Raw genomic sequence first — 18,751 nt, forward strand, 5'->3', positions numbered from 1 at the left:
TTTCTGTATTGACATACCACACTTGTCTAAGTTACGAAGCTGCATTGTAACCATGGACATAGATTCTTCACAGATTACACGTGTGTACCACACACAGATTCAGTCTGTGCTTCCTCTTTCTTCACTTTTGACCTCTGACTATGCCATCCGTGGAATTGAAGGCTATTAAAAGTATAGAGAACTGGATTGGCCCTTCTGAAAAGATGGCAAAAATTTTTTAAGAGGAGACTGCTCTGATTATCTATCTCATCAAATGACTAGATTGCTCAAATAATTATGTCTGTTCATATGAGAAGTCTTTTTTTAACTTATTACTTTCTCTGTTTATACTTGTTATCTCCCAATTCTCTTATTACCTAACCAGTATTCCAGTCATGACTGTAATGCCACTTGTGTCCTTCATACTGAACACCAACTTAAATGCACTTGCCTAAATGTTTTGCTTATAACTCAACACAAACTAGACAGAAAATGGAGAATTAAGTCAAGTTGCTCTATTGAAATAGAGTTTGGCCGGGTGCAGTGGCTCACTCCTGTATTCCCAGCACTATGGGAGGCAGAAGTGGGTGGTTGCTTGAGCTCAGGAATTCCAGACCATCCTGGCCAACATGACAAAACCTCATCTCTACTAAAAATACAAAAAAATTAATCGGGCTTGGTGGCACAGGCCTGTAGTCCCAGCTACTTGTTTGATCCTGACAGGTGGAGGTTACAGTGAGCCAAAATCATACCACTGCATTCTAGCCTGGGCAACAAGAGCGAGACTGTGTATGATGAAATAGAGTTTGGCCACTGGGCGTGGTGGTTCATGCCTATAATCCCAGCACTTTGGGAGGCTGAGGAGTATTGCTTGAAGCAAGGAGTTTGAGATCAGCCTGGGCAACATAGTGAGACCCTGTCTGTACAAAACATTTTTATAAATTAGCTGGGTGTGGTGGCATGCGCCTGTAACGCCAGCTACTCAGGAGGCAGAGGTAGGAGGATCACTTGATCCCAGGAGGTCAAGGCTGCAGCGAGCTGTGATCACACTACTGCACTTCAGCCAGGGTGACAGAGCAAGACCCTATCTCAAGAAAGAAAGAAATACATGTTGGTACCTGCACTGTTTCTTAATTTCATTCATTTGGTATAGGATTTTCATGATTTTTGCCCCACCTGATTATAACTACTTTTTGTTTAACCTAATATTTTCTTGGAATTTCATGCTTTTGTTTAAATAATTTACTTTTAAAGAAACTTTATACTACTAGTCAAACTAGAAAATCAATATCATGAACATAACTAGAAGATTAACTAGAACATTAATCTGGCTACTTAAACCTTCAAATGATTCTGAAGCTCAACTCTCTCTGTTAAAAAGGAGGATTAGCTGATACTAGCCGCACATTAAAATTTTCTTCTTGACAGATTCAGAAGGATTGACAGATAATTGAAAAGAGTAACTTTTGTAGCAATTTCATTAGTCAGAATAGGCTAAACTATATTGCCATAACAAACCATCTTTAAAATGGCAGCAGATTCATACAACAAATGTTGGTTTCTAATTCACCCAACAAATGTTGGCAACTCTCCAGGGCAGCTGTCCTTTATTGCTGCTTCAATCTTGTAGTTTCACTATCTCAACGTGAGACTTTCATCATGATTTTTCTGTCAGAGGAAGAGATACACTGTAGAATCATGCAGGGACTATGTCACTTCTGCTTTTATTTCATTGGCTCAAACTAGTCTTCTAAACTGCACAACAGCTGGTAATTGTAGTCACCCCTCTGCCTAGAAGGGAATGGAGACCAGGATATTGGTGGGCACTAGTAATGCCCACTGCGCTATGTAATTCAGTGCTATTTACTGCCGTTTTTATGGATGATTTTAAATCATCTTTTACATCCTAAAATCAGTCCCATACCTTGAGAAACAGTTTTTTGTTTTGTTTTTGAGACAGAGTGTCGCTTTGTTGCCCAGGCTGTGTGTAGAGGCACCATCTTGGCTCATTGCATCCTCTGCTTCCCAGGTTCTAGCAATTCTGCTGCTGCAGCCTCCCGAGTAGCTGGGACTACAGGCCCTCACCACCACTACACCTGGCTAATTTTTGTAGTTTTAGTAGAGATGGGGTTTCGCCATGTTGGCCAGGCTGGTCTTGAACTCCTGACCTCAAGTGATTCACCTGCCTTGGCCTCCCAAAGTGCTGGGATTACAGGCGCAAGCCACCATGCCTGCCCAGGAAGAGTATTATAAATGAAATATTATAATATTTGAAATCAAAATATCAGGATATGAATCTGTGATCTACCACTTAATTACTGTAATCTTGGACAAGAGATCTTATGATTCTGTTTTCCCATCTGCAAAACAGGATTAATGTATTTTACATAGAAAAATTACAAAGGTCGAATGAGCTTAGGTAAAAATTTAAATAAAAGTATAAAATAGGCTGGGTGTGGTGGCTCATGCCTGTAATCCCAGCACTTTGGGAGGCCAGTGTTTGCGGATCACTTGAGGTCAGGAGTTCAAGACCAGCCTGGCCAACATGCTAAAACCCCGTTTCTACTAAAAAAAAAAAAAAAAAAAAAAAAAAAAAAAAAAAAAATTAGCCCGGCATGGTGGTGCACAGCTGTAATCCCAGCTACTCCAGAGGCTGAGGTGGGAGAATTGCATGAACCCAGAAGGTGAGGTTGCAGTGAGCCTAGATTGTGCCACTGCACTTCAGCCTGGGTGACAGAGCGAGACTCTGTCTCAAGAAAAAAAAAAAAGTATTTTTATTTGTCGTTACATAGCTTTTTTTGAAAGTGAGGTAATTGTTTTTAGAGCTGTGTACCTCACATTAGAACTGGGCTCTAGCAAGAAGTTTTGCATCACTAACTAAAAGAAATAGGCCATCTATAAGACCCAACAGAATGATCCCATTTCATCAGTCTTTCTAAAACAAAATTTAGGGATGTTTTCTCTTCCATTTAAATACTCATTTTAAAAAAAATTGTTACATTTAATTCTTATTTGAGTGCCAAATAAGATCAGAGCAAAATTAAAAGTTTGTATAAAGCTCTATAAGAAAACTACCGTCTATAGATGTAATGTTGGAAAAAGTTTTTAAACTTTTTTACTTGATAAACATTAAAATGGTATCATTAATTTTTAAAACAAGGCAAAGTGTGATGATATTTATTTTAATTGATTGAACTAAGTTAGAACAAACTAAATTCATAAGCCAGACATTGCTACAGATTTCTTATACACTGTTGGTATAAAGTCTAGCCACATATATCTGAAGTAACTTGATTTTCTAAGTCACTTGCTCCTGTCCCAACTTCTTTCTTAATTTTCTGGTGGAGTTTGTAAAGGAGTGCTATTATTTCTTCTTAAGGCAGTTGTTAGGATTCACCAGTGGTGACAACTGAGACTGGGCTTTTTTGTGGTAAGATGTTTAATTACTAATTCAGTTTATTTACTTGTTATAAATCTATTCAGATTTTTCCATGTCTTAATGAATGAGTTTTGATAATTTGTGTCTTTCTGTGAATTTGCCCATTTCATCTAAGTTATCAAATTTGTTGGCTTAAAGTTGTTATTAATATGCCCTTATAGTCCTTTACGTTTCTGCAGAGTCAATAGTGATGGCCCCATTTTTATTCCTAATTTGATAGTTCATGTTTTGCTGTTTCTCTTTGTCAGTCTAGAGTAAGTTTTTTCTATTTTGTTTATCTTTTCAAAGAATTAAATTCTCGTTTCATCATTTTCCTCTGAAAAGCAAATAAGTTTATTTGCTGTTTCATTGAGTTCTGCTTTAATCTTTATGGTTTTATTTTTCTGCCTGATTTGGGGTTTAATTTGTGCTTTCCAAATTTTTAAAGACATAAGCTGTGAGCATGTTTTTCTCCAGTTATTTTTCAATTGTTGTAACCATAAAATTTTCATGAAACTTTAAAAAAAGATAAATTAGTGAAATTAATGGGTCTTCTGAAACGAGTTTCTTAAAATCACCTTATAATTCCAATTGTTAATAGAAAATTAACATATATTAAACTCCGATGAGTTGGGGGGCATCTGCAATACATTTTTCTCTTTAAATTGTGTAGCCTATGTTTTGTCCCATTTTCATGGCACTTGGCTTTCTCCTGTTTGTATCATAGCTGTTCTTCTTCTGTCTTACCCCCTCATTAAGTTCCTTTAGGCTGGACACTGTCTTAATTATGTTTGAATCCCCTGAAGCATTTCTTACTGCTCTGTGCACATGGTAGGAACACAGAAGCATTCATTGAATTGAAGGGAACAGCTCATATGTTTTATGGAATTGGTTTACAAATAGTTATTGCAGGTTTCTAACAAAATAATTTTCATTTAAACTGTCATTATTTGTATGTGAAAATTTCATGTAGCACCAAATTTGCATTTTTAACACATCTGAGTTTTCATGTTTGTGAAGTATCCCAATACTCTCAGATGATTATGCTAATCCTTAAAAAGTTATCATGATGCCTCTTTTCTTATTTATTACATAGTAACATTTCTAGTAGAGAGTGGGGCCTTTGTTATGTCACATTTTTTATGAAATGTTTAAAGAAGGAGATAAAGATGAAAAATTAAATAGGAATGTCATAATTATTCTAGAGCTTTTAGCAATATTTGCCTGTGTATAAAATTATCAATTTATATTTCACAGCTATAACTTCTGAACAAGAAATGACTAAATACAGAAAAGCATTTAGCTCTGATATCACAACCTCTTTATTTTAATCAGTAGAAAACTTTATTAATATATTTGTTATAATACATGTTTTGAAATTGTTACCTGCAGGTAAATATGCTAGTATACCTTCTCAAATTCCATTATTTTTGCTATTTCTTTGTAACAATTTGCTGTGTCACTATTAGTATATAGTTATTTCATCCCTTATTGAATTATTTATAGATTTTAAATGATGACATTTCAGTTATTTGGCTCTGGTTACTTTAGAGTTTTTGTTTTATTTTCATTATTAGGAGTTAGTATAAAAGTCTTTAGGTGATAAGTACTTTCTTTAAAAGAATTTAATATTCACATTTTGCTGGGTACAGGGGCTCTCACCTGTAATCCTGGCACTTTGGGAGGCTGAGGCAGGAGGATTGCCTGAGTCCAGGAGTTTGAAACCAGCCTGAACAACATAGTGAGACCCTGTCTTTAAAAAAAAGAAAAAATTCTAGAATTTAATATTCAAATGCTAAATTTTCAATAGACTCAAAGTCAGAATATTTTCTCCACACTTAGCTCTGTATTCTTTATGGTATATATTCTAGTGGGGCCTGTGTTTATATTGAGACCATATGCTACGAGTTGTTGCTGACTAGGTAGATTTCAATATTTTTTAAATGGATATAATTGCTGTGTTAATCTTAAAAATGGTGAAACTATGTAATGTTGCCTTTTTGCTTAGATGAAATGAATCGTTTTTTCATTTCTACAGTTGTTCACTATGATAAATAGGGATAGGAAAGGTTCATATGAGAGTCCATAGTAGATAACTAGTGGCCACATACTAATTGATATTTGTATTGGTAAACAAAGTCATCTTTATTTTGCCACACTGCATACATGTTATATTTCCTTTATATTTGTATAAATCACAGAGAAATCAGATATCTAATAGTCTGTTTTCAGAAATGTATACATATACTATATCTCTAGCTACAATAATATACATTCACATTTAAATAAATGTGTTCCAATTATTTGACACTTCAGCATAAATTGGATGTAAAACTACACACAACAGTTTTTATATGAAATTTGGAGTATGTCGAGTAGGGAACTAAAAGGCATAACACGTAGTATTGGGGAAGATAGAGGGAGATGAGAGGTTTATAAAACATGTACTTCATTTTTTTATACTTACATAGAAGAAATAACTAGAAAGATACTTTGCAGCTGTGTATTAATTTATAATTGGTTTCAGAGAAGTATAGTTTTATTTGCATTATGAAGAGTCAGAAATTGTTTCTACAATAGACTAGGCTTTATTTGATAAAGATTATCATATCAAATTTTCATTTTCTTTTTCTGCATTGTATCTTTTTTATTTTTGTTTTTTTCTTTTCTTTAGATAGTTACTTTCTCAGAATTAACAGGGAATATGAATTATCATTTTTTTCCTCTTCACCATTTTTCACTTTTATCTACCCTGTGCCAAAATGTCAGATTCTACTGGTTTTTCCTTCTCTCTGTTTTTTTTTGTGTGTGCTTTATTTTATTTTTATTTATTGTTCTTGATCCCCCCACCATTTTGCAGGAAATGAATAATTAAAAGGGAAAATCTCCTTGCATTTCTGCTTTCTTCAGGATGTTGCTTATGTCACCGTTGAAGCACAATCATGAGAAATAGTTAATCAGCACATTAGATAGGGTAGGAGGATGCCCTTCCCACCTATTTCCAGATTTTAAACCTAACAGAGATCCAGGGTTAATAAGAAGGAAACAAAGAATGACACAAACACTATCTCTCCTTCTACCCTTCTTTCCCACTCCCACTACAGAAAATTCATGATATTCAAAGGTTTATTTTCTAGTAAATGTTTAGGAACTAAAATGTTATAAGATTCTGCATATGAAAGCTTTGTTAAAACTTTTTAAAATATAGTTTTCTCTTTCCAGATAAATTTCTCAATGTTTCTCTCTACTTCTTTACAATTCTATAGTTCAAATCTTTTCTTTCTATGTTGCTTCAAAGAGTTTTACAATTTTAGCTCTTATTTTTAGGTCTTTGATCCATTTTGAGTTAATTTTTTATATGACGTAAGATAAGGATCTAACCTCACTCTTTTGCATATTCAGTTTCCTCAAAACCATTTGTTGAAAAGACTGTCCTTTTCCCACTAAATGGTATTAATACCCTTGTCAAAAATTATTGATGATACGGTTTATTTCTGGCCAGCCTTTTCTATTCCATTGGTCTATATGTCTGTCTTTATGCCAGTACCATACTGTTTAGACTACTATAGCTTTGTAGTAAGTTTTGAAATCAGAAAGTGTGAGAAATCCAAGTTTATTATTTTTTTCAAGATTGTTTTGACTATTTAGGTTCCCTTGAGATTTCACATGAATTTTAAGATGGATGTTTCTATTTCTGGGGAAAAAAAAAGTCATTGAAAGTCGTTGGGATTTTGATAGGGATTGCATTGAATCTATAGATCACTTGGGTGGTGTACCATCTTAATATTGTCCCCCAGTCCATGAAGAATGGATGCCTTTTCATTTATTTGTACCTTCTTTAATTTCTTTCAGCAATGTTTGATAGTTTTTGGTGCACAAGTCCTTTGTTTCCTTGATTAAGTTTATGTCTACATATTTTATTTTTTTGTTGTTGCTATTTTAAATTGAACTGTCTCCTTAGGTTTTTTTTCTCAGATTGTTCATTGTTAGTGTATAGAAATACAACTAACTTGTGAGTTGATTATGTATCCTGCAACTTTACCGAATTTATTAGTTCCAGCAGGTATTTTTCTGGAGTCTTTAGGGTTTTCTACATATAAGTTGTCTTCTGCAAACAGATAATTTTACTTCTTTCTACTTTGGATGCCTTGTATTTCTTTTTCTTGCCTGCACAAACATTTTTATTTTCCTACCACACTGGACAATTAATGTTTATTAAGTTATCTTCAGGTTAACTTTACTAAATATACTTTATAATCTCAAATCCAACTTTGTGAAAATACTTTCTTGGTACTTTTATTGTTCTGCCTATCTTTATATTTATCTTTCATTTTACATTTTCTTGATCTTTGCTTTCATTTGGTCTGCCTCCATACTGTTCTCTCTGTATATTCTTATCTGAGTCTTCTGCCAGTTTCCTCCTAAAAAATCCCTTCTGCTATGAAACATTTACTAAAGACAATACCTCAGTAATTATTTATTATTTTAATGCCCTTATATTTCTTTGACTAGATATACTTCAACATTATCTACAGCATTCCAGCATACAGAGGAACCTCGATAGGTAGATTTTCTCTTTTCACCATTAGCATTCCTGTGTGATGAATCTGATTGCTCTTATCCTCCCTCAACCACCTGCCTCCCAGGTGATCATGGGAAGAATTAGTGAGTATAGATAGTATTGTTATTTCTTCAAAATAGACCCCATATGGTTAATACTTTATAACTTAGGACTCTTTAAAAAACAGCAACAACAACAACAACAACAACAACACAAGAGTTAAATCGGTAAAAGAATGACTGAAAAGAAATTCTAATAGCCAGGCGTGGGTGGCTCATGCCTGTAATCCCAGCACTTTGGGAGCCTGAGGCAGGCAAATCTTTTGAGTCCAAGGAGTTCCAGACCAGCCTGGGCAACATGGCAAAACTCTGTCTCTACCAAAAAAAAAAGAAATAACGAAAATTACCCAAGCGTGGTGGCACATGACTGTGGTCCCGACTACTCGGAAGGCTGAGATGGGAGAATCACTTGAGCCTGAGAGGAGGAGGTTGCAGGTTGCAGTGACCTGAGATCACACCACTGCACTCTCGCCTGGGCAACAGAGCCAGACCCTGTCTCACAAAAAAAAAGAAAAAAGAAAAGAAATTCTAACTTTACCACACATGTTGATACTCTCACAGATGAGGCCTTGATTTGTATTTCATTACAGCTTTTTTCTTAAGAAAATTTTCTTAATGAGCAGTTTGCATGTGGTGTTCGTGGATTCTCTAATCCAGTGTTCACAAACTTCAGTGTGCCATACGATCACCTGCAGGGCTTGCTGAATACAGATTGCTGGGCCCCCACCTTCCAGAGTGTCTGACCCAGCTTATCTGGGGTGAGGCCTGATCATTTGCATTTCTGACAAATTCCCAGGTGATATTATACTGCTGGTCCAGGCACCACATTTTGTGAACCCATGGTCTAAAGAATACTGTTTAACTTCCATTCTGTACCACATATTTATTGTTGTCTAACTTAGACCATTTTGATTTGGATACTCTACTAAGGCATAACATATTGTATTTTCTTCAACATGATTCCCTTCTCAATTAAAAAATAATTGGTGATATCACTGTTCACATCCCCTTAGACATCTTTGTTTTACTACCCCCATGCCTCAACATATATGCACGGTTCAGACTTCCAAATCATGCTGAATCTGTGATGACAACAGCAAAAACAATAATAACAGCTGATGTTTTTAGAACATTTATTCTGGGCTAGGTACTGTTTTGAGGATTTTATTTGAATTAATATAATCCTCACAAATTGTCTTTGATATTATTAGCCCAAAATAACTGATGAAAGGAAACAAACACAGAAAGGTTCTTACAGCTAGAAAAAAAATGAATGAAATAGGACTCTAATGTAAGCATTCTGGTTTCAGAGCCCTTACCCTTAATTCCTGCACTCTCAAATTCCTCACTAATGTGCTGCCATGTTATGCTGTCTCTATAGTATGTCTGAAACTACTTTCTTACTTTGTTTTCTGTAGCCGTAGCCCTCACTAGTCCATGTATTAATAAACTTAATAAGTGAGCTATATCACTGTATCCAAGCACTGTGCTTAAATACTTATACATGTTTGGAATTAGTTAAGCCTCATAACAATACTGTGACTTTATGAGGAAACTGAGGCTTGGTAAGGCTAAATAACTTGCCTAATTTCTTACTATTAATATATGCTAGAATCAAGACCTAGATTTTTCAGATCACTCTACTTAACCTCTAAGCCGATATGCATTCATCTGCTCAACCTCTGCCAGATTCTGTAACTCAAGTCATTGAGGGCATAAGAATCGATGTTCCCAGTGTCAGTTCCAATCACTTATTTGTGCAGTAGTTTCTGTTATCTCTTACATCACAATAAAATGCCAAGTTTGGGCTTTAGATTGTTCCTACCCATCTCATCTCAACCACTTTCTTTCTTCTTTTAACTATCAGAGAAGGCCTTTTAATGTGGAATTCTCTTACTCACATGAATCATCTTATGTACCATTTTTTACAATGAAGCATATTAAAATTCCAGGCTTCCAGGTAAAACATTATGCCCCATCTTCCAACTTGCCCTTCTATGTTCTCCACCAAGCAATATTATGACTATTGTTCAACTTATCATATCTGTGATTGTCCCTGCTGTGTTTGACTTACAAATGACACTAGTTTTCTGTGACTTGGATGAGAACACCATTATCATCTACCTTATAAAACAGTTTAACTTTATTATTAGACAAGCACAGTACCCCATGGATGAGGGAAGAGGTGAAGAGTAGATAGAAGAAAGAATTAAATGTCTCCTGTGAGCTATAAAGATAACCTCAGTTGGAATTTCCTGAGAAGGGAAAATAAAGAAGTTGGTATACATCGAGCTTCATAGATCTAAAATAACTCTCTTTGCTGGAGAATTGTGTATTTTAGTAAGAGGTTTTATTTTTTTTCCTCTGCCAGATCTGTTTAACTTCTGATTAACACCATATAGTCCATACTCTCTTCACAGTCTTCAGCTATTTCCTTTTTTCTGTATGATCTCTAGAACCCTGATCTTTTCCCTTGACTTCATCTCATAATTCTTGTACACGCCTCATACCTCCCTTAAGTTCTCCTGCCATCCTTCACTTTTTTTCTTACATTTCTACCTTAAGTTTCTGGTCTGTCTACTAGCCCTAAATTTCATTATTTAAAAAATGTTTTTAAGATTTTAAGATATATAGAGTCCCTTGAGCAGGGACCTGTGCTGTCTTTGTCAGAACTCAGCAGGTAAAACAGTTACTCTGATGCCATGACAATGCTTTAATAAAATTCTAGTAAAGGACTTAAGAGCCTTAAGGATTAAATTACTATATAATCATTTTTCCTATACTAAGCAGTATTGAATAAATAAACTGTTTCATTATTTTTAAATCTGTTGGTGAAATTATAATGAAAGAGATTCTAATATTGGCTATTAGTAGCCTGCATATATACATATAAATCACTTGAGATCTTTATTTGTAATAATGATTTTTAAAAACAGGCTCAAGTCTCACACTCATAGCAAAGGTGAGAGTTCTGCTATTCCAAAGCTTGCTTTTGACAGAACCATACTGTTAGGACTCTTAATGTTAGGCCTTTGTTGCCATGGAGACAGTAACAGGCTTTATTATTTTTTAACATATACTGAAAATATACATACCCTAAGGTATAAAGCGTGACTTAGTTGTCTGTTGGTTTTGAGTATTGACACATTTTGAAAATAGTTTCTATATACTTTTAATACTTGATTTTTATCCTTCAAAGAAAATGAAGGAGATTTCTGACCATTGTGATAACAGAGTTGTATATTACTTTTTACAGGGTCTTTTAGGAATAACGTAGAATCTCTTGTGGGTCAGTAATGGATGAGGACTTTGAAGAACATGCAGAAACTTTTGAGAAAAGTAATGTGATCTTAGACACATGTCTTGGCCACCTATGATTATGACACTAATATATAATACAAACAAATCAATTTCAGATTCAACTAATACTTTGTGCCAGTACTGTGCTAAGCACTGTCACCCTATTATAGTTTATTTAATAGAACTCAGTTTGAAAGCACCTAAGCAATCCTCATATTTTAACTTTTACAATAACTGATTATTCGAATGTGTATCAATAGCATTCCTGAATTTTTCCTCCTAAAAATTAGTAAATAAAATGTGTACATACTTTCAATAAGTAAAACTTTCAATTCATGAGTTATACTTTATTCCTTACAAGAATGAATGGATTCCATGGCATGAGATATTAATATTCCATAGGCATCATGATTAAATTGGTAACTAAATCACATGTCTTTAGCTTCTAGTGTCAAACTAGCAGGGCCTAGTTAATGCTTTAGTCCACCAGCAGTTTTGACTTCTTACATTAATAGCTGAGAAGTAAGGTAATTGATTTTCTTGTTAAGCTACGTAGATTAGGCCTGATGGCTTATATTTAATCCTACTTATGGTGTTTATCATGACCAAGTATTAGAGTAGTTATTTCTGGATAACAAAAACCTTTTGATTACAGTTATTATAAACAAAACCTTGAAACATAGTCCTGTGCTTTCCTTAGTTAACATCTGTATTTAATGGCAAAAGAAGCCAAAGTAAGAAAGCTCTTTGCTTTATAAAGAGAGAGAAATAAGGTAACAGACAATCACAATTTATACTAATAGTTTTGAATATTAGATTTTAGCTTTTCCAGTTTTCAGTGACTTTTAACAAGACCCATCTCCTCTATGAAGAATGCAGTTAGTTTTTTTTTTTTTTTTCTGGCTCAAAAAATAGGGTAACCTGATCTGAGTCTGACAGAGTGTGTCGTTCATTTAAGTGCTTCCATCTGTTGCCTGCTGTTCCCCTTACTCATGACCCCTCTATGTTTCTCTCTTTCCCTTTTTCCTTCTCTTTCCCTGTTTCTCTCCCTTCCTTTCTCTTTCTTTCTCTCTTGCTCTCTCTGTCTCTTGCTTGCTCTCTCTCTCTTTTTGTTCTTAGCCCCTCTGAGGAAGGCAAAGTTTGTTGAGAGCCCACGAATTCCAGAATCCGAGCTTGGCTCACCAACCCTCACTTCAGCTCAGAAACTGGACGTGGATGCATACTGCCCTGGTAAGCATGCATGCAAAGTGTCTGCTTTGAAAGAGGGAGGATTGGATCAGGCCCATCCAGCAGAGCAGTGTTTTGCATGTATACTACTCATAAAAACATGTTACCTCTTTTGCAACTGATTGCCTATTCTTCTTAATAGAACATAGTTTTTACTGAATGCCCTGTTTTGACTTTGATACAATAATGAGAGTAAGTATTGAAAATAATTTCAAAGGTAATTTTCAAAAGAATTAAAATAATTTTGGTAGATAAGTAGTTTTAGGTAAGTAGGGTTACTTTTGTGATTTGAGATACTTAAAGAAATTTTGCTGTGGCCATGTGCAAACAGAAATGTTGAAGATGTGAATAAGAATATTCATTCAACACTAGACACAAAAGTGTTCTATGCAACACTTTTGCATACAACCTTTATGCCTAATTCCTGTTGGATTTCTGGTGATTATAGAAAATACTTGTGATGCTGGAAACATTAAACTTGAATTAGAAAAGAAATATAGGTTTCCGAGATGGACTCCTTTTGGATACAGATACTTACTTTTAGAAATACCTCTTGTGAATGGCCTGTAAACACATGTGAGAGTTCACTAAAACCCTTCTTGTGTGGGAGCCAAACTGAGAAAGACTCATTATCAATGCTTAGATTCTTTCAAACTTAGATGAGTTGCCTGGCAACATCCTTTACACTCTCTCTACAGTCAGTCTATAGAGCTGTGTCAGAAATGTTCACAGCTCTAGCTGAGTATACAGATTAGAGCATTAGTAAAGGAAGGACCTTGGAAGACTTGGTTTTAGGTCTTTTGTTTATTCCTGCTCATTAAAATTGATGTTAAACCACAGTGAATACAACTACTACATATTTACAGCATGAGGGGTCAGCAGAGTAAAATGATTCCTAGTTCTGGGGAAGATATCAGTATCTGTGATCTGAAATGTCAGTATAATATACCTTCGAAGCCAGATAGGACATAGTAAAACAAAAAACAAAACAGTAGGAGAAAATTTGGGCCAAACCTCATAAAATGAGAGACGTTTCATTTTATGAGTCAATTTTGAATACTGAAAGACCTTGGGGATTTTGCTTTCCTTCGGGGTATTGAAACGGCTTCATCCACTCTTATAGATAACCATTCTTTTCTAAATCAATCACAGTTTTGTATTAGGAACCAGCTTTTCTGTTTTCAAAAGGAACAAAGTAGTTCTTTAAATGGTACTATAGCACACGATTAGAAGAATCTTTCATGTTTTGAGGTATTGTCACGCTTCTTGGGCAGTCGAATATTGTACTTTGCATTTCTTCATGCAAATTTTAGTGTTATAAAGTAAAATAAGTGTGCTAATTTTCTATCCCTTTCTTGAGTTTTAGAAGGAAAACCCTATCAGAGGCCTTTTCCAGATTTGCAAGTCAGAATGACTGTCATGGGGGCCTAATCTTTCACTTCCTGATTGCCCATCTGACATCTTTAATCTAATCTAAAGCTAAAGTCTTACTCAGGTGATTATTTATGTATATTTTCCACAGGCATGAATTCTTTGTTGAATTAGAATTAAACTAAAGCTCGGTTATGATTTTTAGAAAGCAAGGAAGAAACTAAAACACAATATCAAAGTGCTGCTAAAAAAGTCTTTCCTTTTCTTATCTGAAACAATTTTAAAGCATAGAAACTTTATAGTGATTTGCTCATCTCTAATCAAGTTATTAGATGCTCTGAAAATTAGTTTCTACCAAGATAAGAATGGTAACCTGAGGGTTGAAGCTATTATCTCTACATAGTATCAAAAATTAACAATAACCAAATGAATTGATGAGTATACTCACAAACCAAAAAGATTTTGCATTTTTTCATGCAAATTTTAGTATTATAAAGTGAAATAATACTTAATTTTTGAATTTCTTTCACATAGGATATACTAACACCACTGATGATATTTTATTGTACATTCATACAGAGTAATACAGTTAAGGCTACTAGTGTTCTGATACCTTCTTGTCTGCCTGCTTTATTCATTATCACCTGAAAATTTAGGAAAATACTTTGTCTCCCAGAGGCAACAATCACAAACTGAAGGTTAGAGCAGTGGTTTTCAAACTTTAACTTACTTCAGAATTACCTGGAAGATTTGTCCAAATGCAGATTGGTGGGCCCCCAGAATTTCTTACTCAGTAGGTCTGGAGTGGGTCAAGAATTTGCATTTCTAACAAAATCTCAGATCATACTGAAGCTGCTGTTTGAGATTCTATGCTTTGAGAACCAATTGGGTTACAGGGCTGCTGCAGGCTACTCACTGTACAGTCATTGTTCAGTGGTTCAGTGAACAATGCTGAAAGTCTTTGGGGTTCCTTCTACCACTATTGATATCTGGGGAGTAACTGCCAGTGTTGTTTCTGTGTTATCTAAACTTAAACCTTTTGGTAGCTTTTGTGTCTGAGAAATAGACTTATATATTTTTCTTGGTATGTCTTTTTGTACCTGACATCTGTGTACCCACGTCTAACTTTTCTGTGTTGTCCTGCATGTAAAAGGAAATTGTGGATCAAACCAAACCAATTCACTGATGGTTAAGTCCAAAAGTGTAGGGAAAGCTACTCTGGAGTATAGCTGTTGAGCTGGAATATTAAATTGAGTGATTCATTATATAGCATTATCTTCTATAATATCTAATTAAAGGTTTACTGTTCCTCAAGTTACATTTGTTGTATGCAAAAAATGTGGGAAAAATACAAGCAAACAGTATGTTTTGGTTCTGCAGCTACAACTGTGGAGATAATCGATGGTGTTAAGTAAACTACCAGAATAAAGGGGATGTTCCGGGAATTGTGTGTGTTAATTGTCTCACAGTGGGGAAACTAAGATCTAGAGAATTCAAGTGATTTGTCTAGGGTCACAAGCAGGATTTGTTGTTCAGCTCTTGAAGTGGACACAATATAGTCCAAAAATATATTGCCCTCTAATCCTGTCACTGTGTAAATTCCATGAGCATTCCTTACTGTCCTTAGATTTAAAAGCAGAAAATTCAGTTAAGTATGAGATAGTCATATTCTATTTTTATGAAAAAGGGTAACCAACTGTTAGTGATTTCAATAAAGCAATTTCCAAAATAAGAAAATAGATTCATCCTACACTCTATCACTTTTCTATCTACAGTATTACTTATTAGGTGTGTGATTTGGGGCAAGTCACTTAACCTTTCTACCTGTTTCTTCATCTGTAAAAATAGAGATGATAATTTTAAATCAGTTTAATATATATAAAGCACTTAGAAGAATGCTTGGCTCATAGTCAGTGCTCATAATTGTTAGTTGATTTTATTATTTTTGCAGTGATGATCCTAAGGTATAAGACAAGGTCTTAATCAGAAAAAATACTTAAAGGTTTAGGGTCATTTTTTGTTAAGTGTGTCCTGTTGCATTTCAATTCTGATTTTTCTCTGATGAATCTTATGGTCTGGAACATGTCACTTAACTTTTCCATTCCACAGTCTCCTGTCACAGCAACATTATTTCTATAATTTAACAAATTATGCTTTTATATAGATACATGAATATATATTCATAGGAAAAAATTTCTGGAAGAATACACCAAACCGTACCACTGGTTGCCTAAGGAGGGGAGACTTTGAATTATTGGAAAGTTAGAGTAGGATTGTTGTGAGATAATATTAGTTAGCAGAGATTATATCTGGTTGGTGGCATTACAGGTGGTTTTAATTTTCTTTCTTGGGCAGCATGTATTAGTGAATAAGAGCTTATGTTCTGGAGTTAGATCTAGGTTTAATTTTTTTCTCTTCCACCTACTAGCTGTGTGACTGATAAAAATAGACCTATCTTTAAAAAAAACAAAAACAAAAACAAAACAACCTATCATCTCATAGGATTGTTACAGAGATTAAGTGAAATATAATGTATATGCCACATGCTTAGCTCAGGCAAAATAAACAAGACATTAGCACCCTTTCTGTTACTCATCATCATCATCATCATTATACTTTTCTGCATTTTCTAAAATTTCTACAATGAACTTCTGTTGAAAATTTTCAGTAATCTGATGACACTAAATGATGGTGATACTCTGTTTTTATTTTAGTTTTTTAAGTGTTTCTGTTTCACATTATAATATAAAATTTCAAGTATAGAAGTGACCTTTGACACAGATAATGGTAGGCCAAGTTGACAGTTTTATAGGACTTTTGACTATATGTGCATGAAAGGTTAAGGGCCAAAGCCCACACCAGTCTTGAAATAGGCAGGCTTTTATCAACACCAAATATATTCAGAGGAATTTGAGATTAATCTTTTTATATGGATTCTTTTAAATCTCTTAAAAAACGGTAGTGTCTTTCAAAGGACAGTGTTATTTAAGGTGACAGCAAAATTAGCATATATTTAAAACTCAAAGAGAAAACAGTTTGATTACAGTTAGTGCATATTCATATTTGTGTATATTCTGCACCTGTAAAAATTTTTTTCATTTGGATTTTTTATCTGTATTGTACATTCTATAGCATAAGCACAAGCCATTGTAAACAAAGTGTTTTATTTAAAGTGAGTAGTTCCTTGAACTGTCTTTTCCCAACTCCTGTATAGTCATGGTCATTTCCATTAAAATCAAAGGATGATATTTTTTTCATTTTCTTTCTTCCATTTAAAAAATTTCCGAGAACATTATAAAATGTTATCTTTATCCTAAATAATTAACCATGCTTCTTTGGTTTTGCTACAAACTATGTGCTTGTACATAAAATCTTCTGTATGATTTTGCATTGTCCTATGAGTACCAAGAGCCTTTTCCTCCTGTTTCATATCTTTTGTTATATTGTGTTTGTATTCTGCTTTATTGTAAATACAATAAGTATGAAACAGAATTTTTAACCTGAGTAAAATTGATGAGCTTTGGGGGGAGTCTTAGCCCTTTAAAATGATAAGTAAAAACTTGCTACATGTACATATGTACTTTTTCCAATCACAGGTTCTCAAAACAGTTGGTAACCTCCCTTGCACCAAATAAAAAGAAAGAAGAAATGCTATTGTAAAGGTTGAAATGGAAAAAAAAAAAGCACCTGTTAATTATTAGAACAACAAGAACAAAAAGCTAGAAGTTGTATAGTGGATAGACTTGAGAGGAGAATGAAAAAGGAAATAATAGAACTATGGGATTGGCCTATCAGGATATGAAGTCTAAAGTAGAGATTAGGAGACAAATGAAACAGAAATAAGTTGTGTATTAGAAGTATGAGATACTGCCTTATTACTGGTTATGGAAATAAGCATAAGAACTAGAATATGAATATAAATGGCTTTTCTTCCCCAAACTTTCCTATCCATGTAAGTTCTTTTTTTTTTCTCTCTCTCTCTTTAAATAGAGATGAGATCTCCCTATGTTGCCTAGGCATACTGCAACCACCAACTCCTGGGCTCAAGCAACCTTCTGCCTCAGCCCCCTGAGTAGCTGGGACTACAGACTCATGCCACCACACCTGTTTAATTTTTATTTTTGTAGAGACAGGGTCTCACAATTTTGTGTAGGCTGGTTTTGAACTCCTGGCCTCAAGTGATTCTCCCACCTGGGCCTCCCTCAGCACTTTTGCTGAGATTATAGGCGTGAGCCACCATGCCCACCCTACTTTGAACATTTTTAGTTGTTTTCCTGATCTTTAGTTTTTCATTGTTTGTGATGTGAGTTTTAATCTTCTGTAGCTAATGAAATTTTAGGAAGGGGATCGGGGACAATTGTGTTCCTCTTTGGTGGGTCCAGTTTCTAGGCAGATAAGGGAACTTCAGAGAACAGCCTCATCCTATGCTTTGGGAGAGGCAGAAGATTGAGACAGGAAGTGGGAGGGGAGGCCAGAAAGCCCTTGAGGTTGCTTCTTTAGTTCAGCATGTCAAGAGACCATATTTTGGGGTATGATTTTCTGTGCCCCAGCATTTAGAAGGTTAATAATCTCATCACACTAACTTTTAGATAACTTTTCTAAGGTGTTTTACATCACAAAATCTGAAGGCTTGGCCTCTGAATGTGGTGTTTAGATCTGTAATTTAGTTAGATATCCAAAGGGGCAATATTTTCATTAACTGTAAAACCATTTTAACTTCCAGCTTTTGAAGAAGTAAAATGTTCTGGTTTAGAGTAAAATGCCAGTGGTTTAGAGCCAGACTGCCTGTGTTCATATACCAGTTCTGCTACTTACTACTTGTGTGACTTTGGGCAA

At 34.7% G+C, this 18,751-nt stretch overlaps 1 protein-coding gene across 21 annotated transcripts in view; it reads left to right on the forward strand.

Annotated features, from left to right (window-relative positions):
* Nucleotides 1-18,751, forward strand: part of TANC2 (tetratricopeptide repeat, ankyrin repeat and coiled-coil containing 2) — a 461,469-nt gene that overhangs the window by 172,599 nt on the left and 270,119 nt on the right. For 10 of the 21 annotated variants that reach the window (XM_011524597.3, NM_001394998.1, XM_006721810.4 and 7 more), the window contains exon 5: nucleotides 12,437-12,547. The exons of the other annotated variants lie outside the window; for them this stretch is intronic. In XM_011524597.3, coding sequence (XP_011522899.1) covers nucleotides 12,437-12,547 — 111 coding nt within the window. The remainder of the gene's footprint in view (nucleotides 1-12,436; nucleotides 12,548-18,751) is intronic. 21 annotated transcript variants of the gene reach the window in all.

Source organism: Homo sapiens, chromosome 17 (assembly GCF_000001405.40).
Source record: "Homo sapiens chromosome 17, GRCh38.p14 Primary Assembly".
In the NCBI taxonomy this organism is placed as follows: Eukaryota; Metazoa; Chordata; class Mammalia; order Primates; family Hominidae; genus Homo; species Homo sapiens.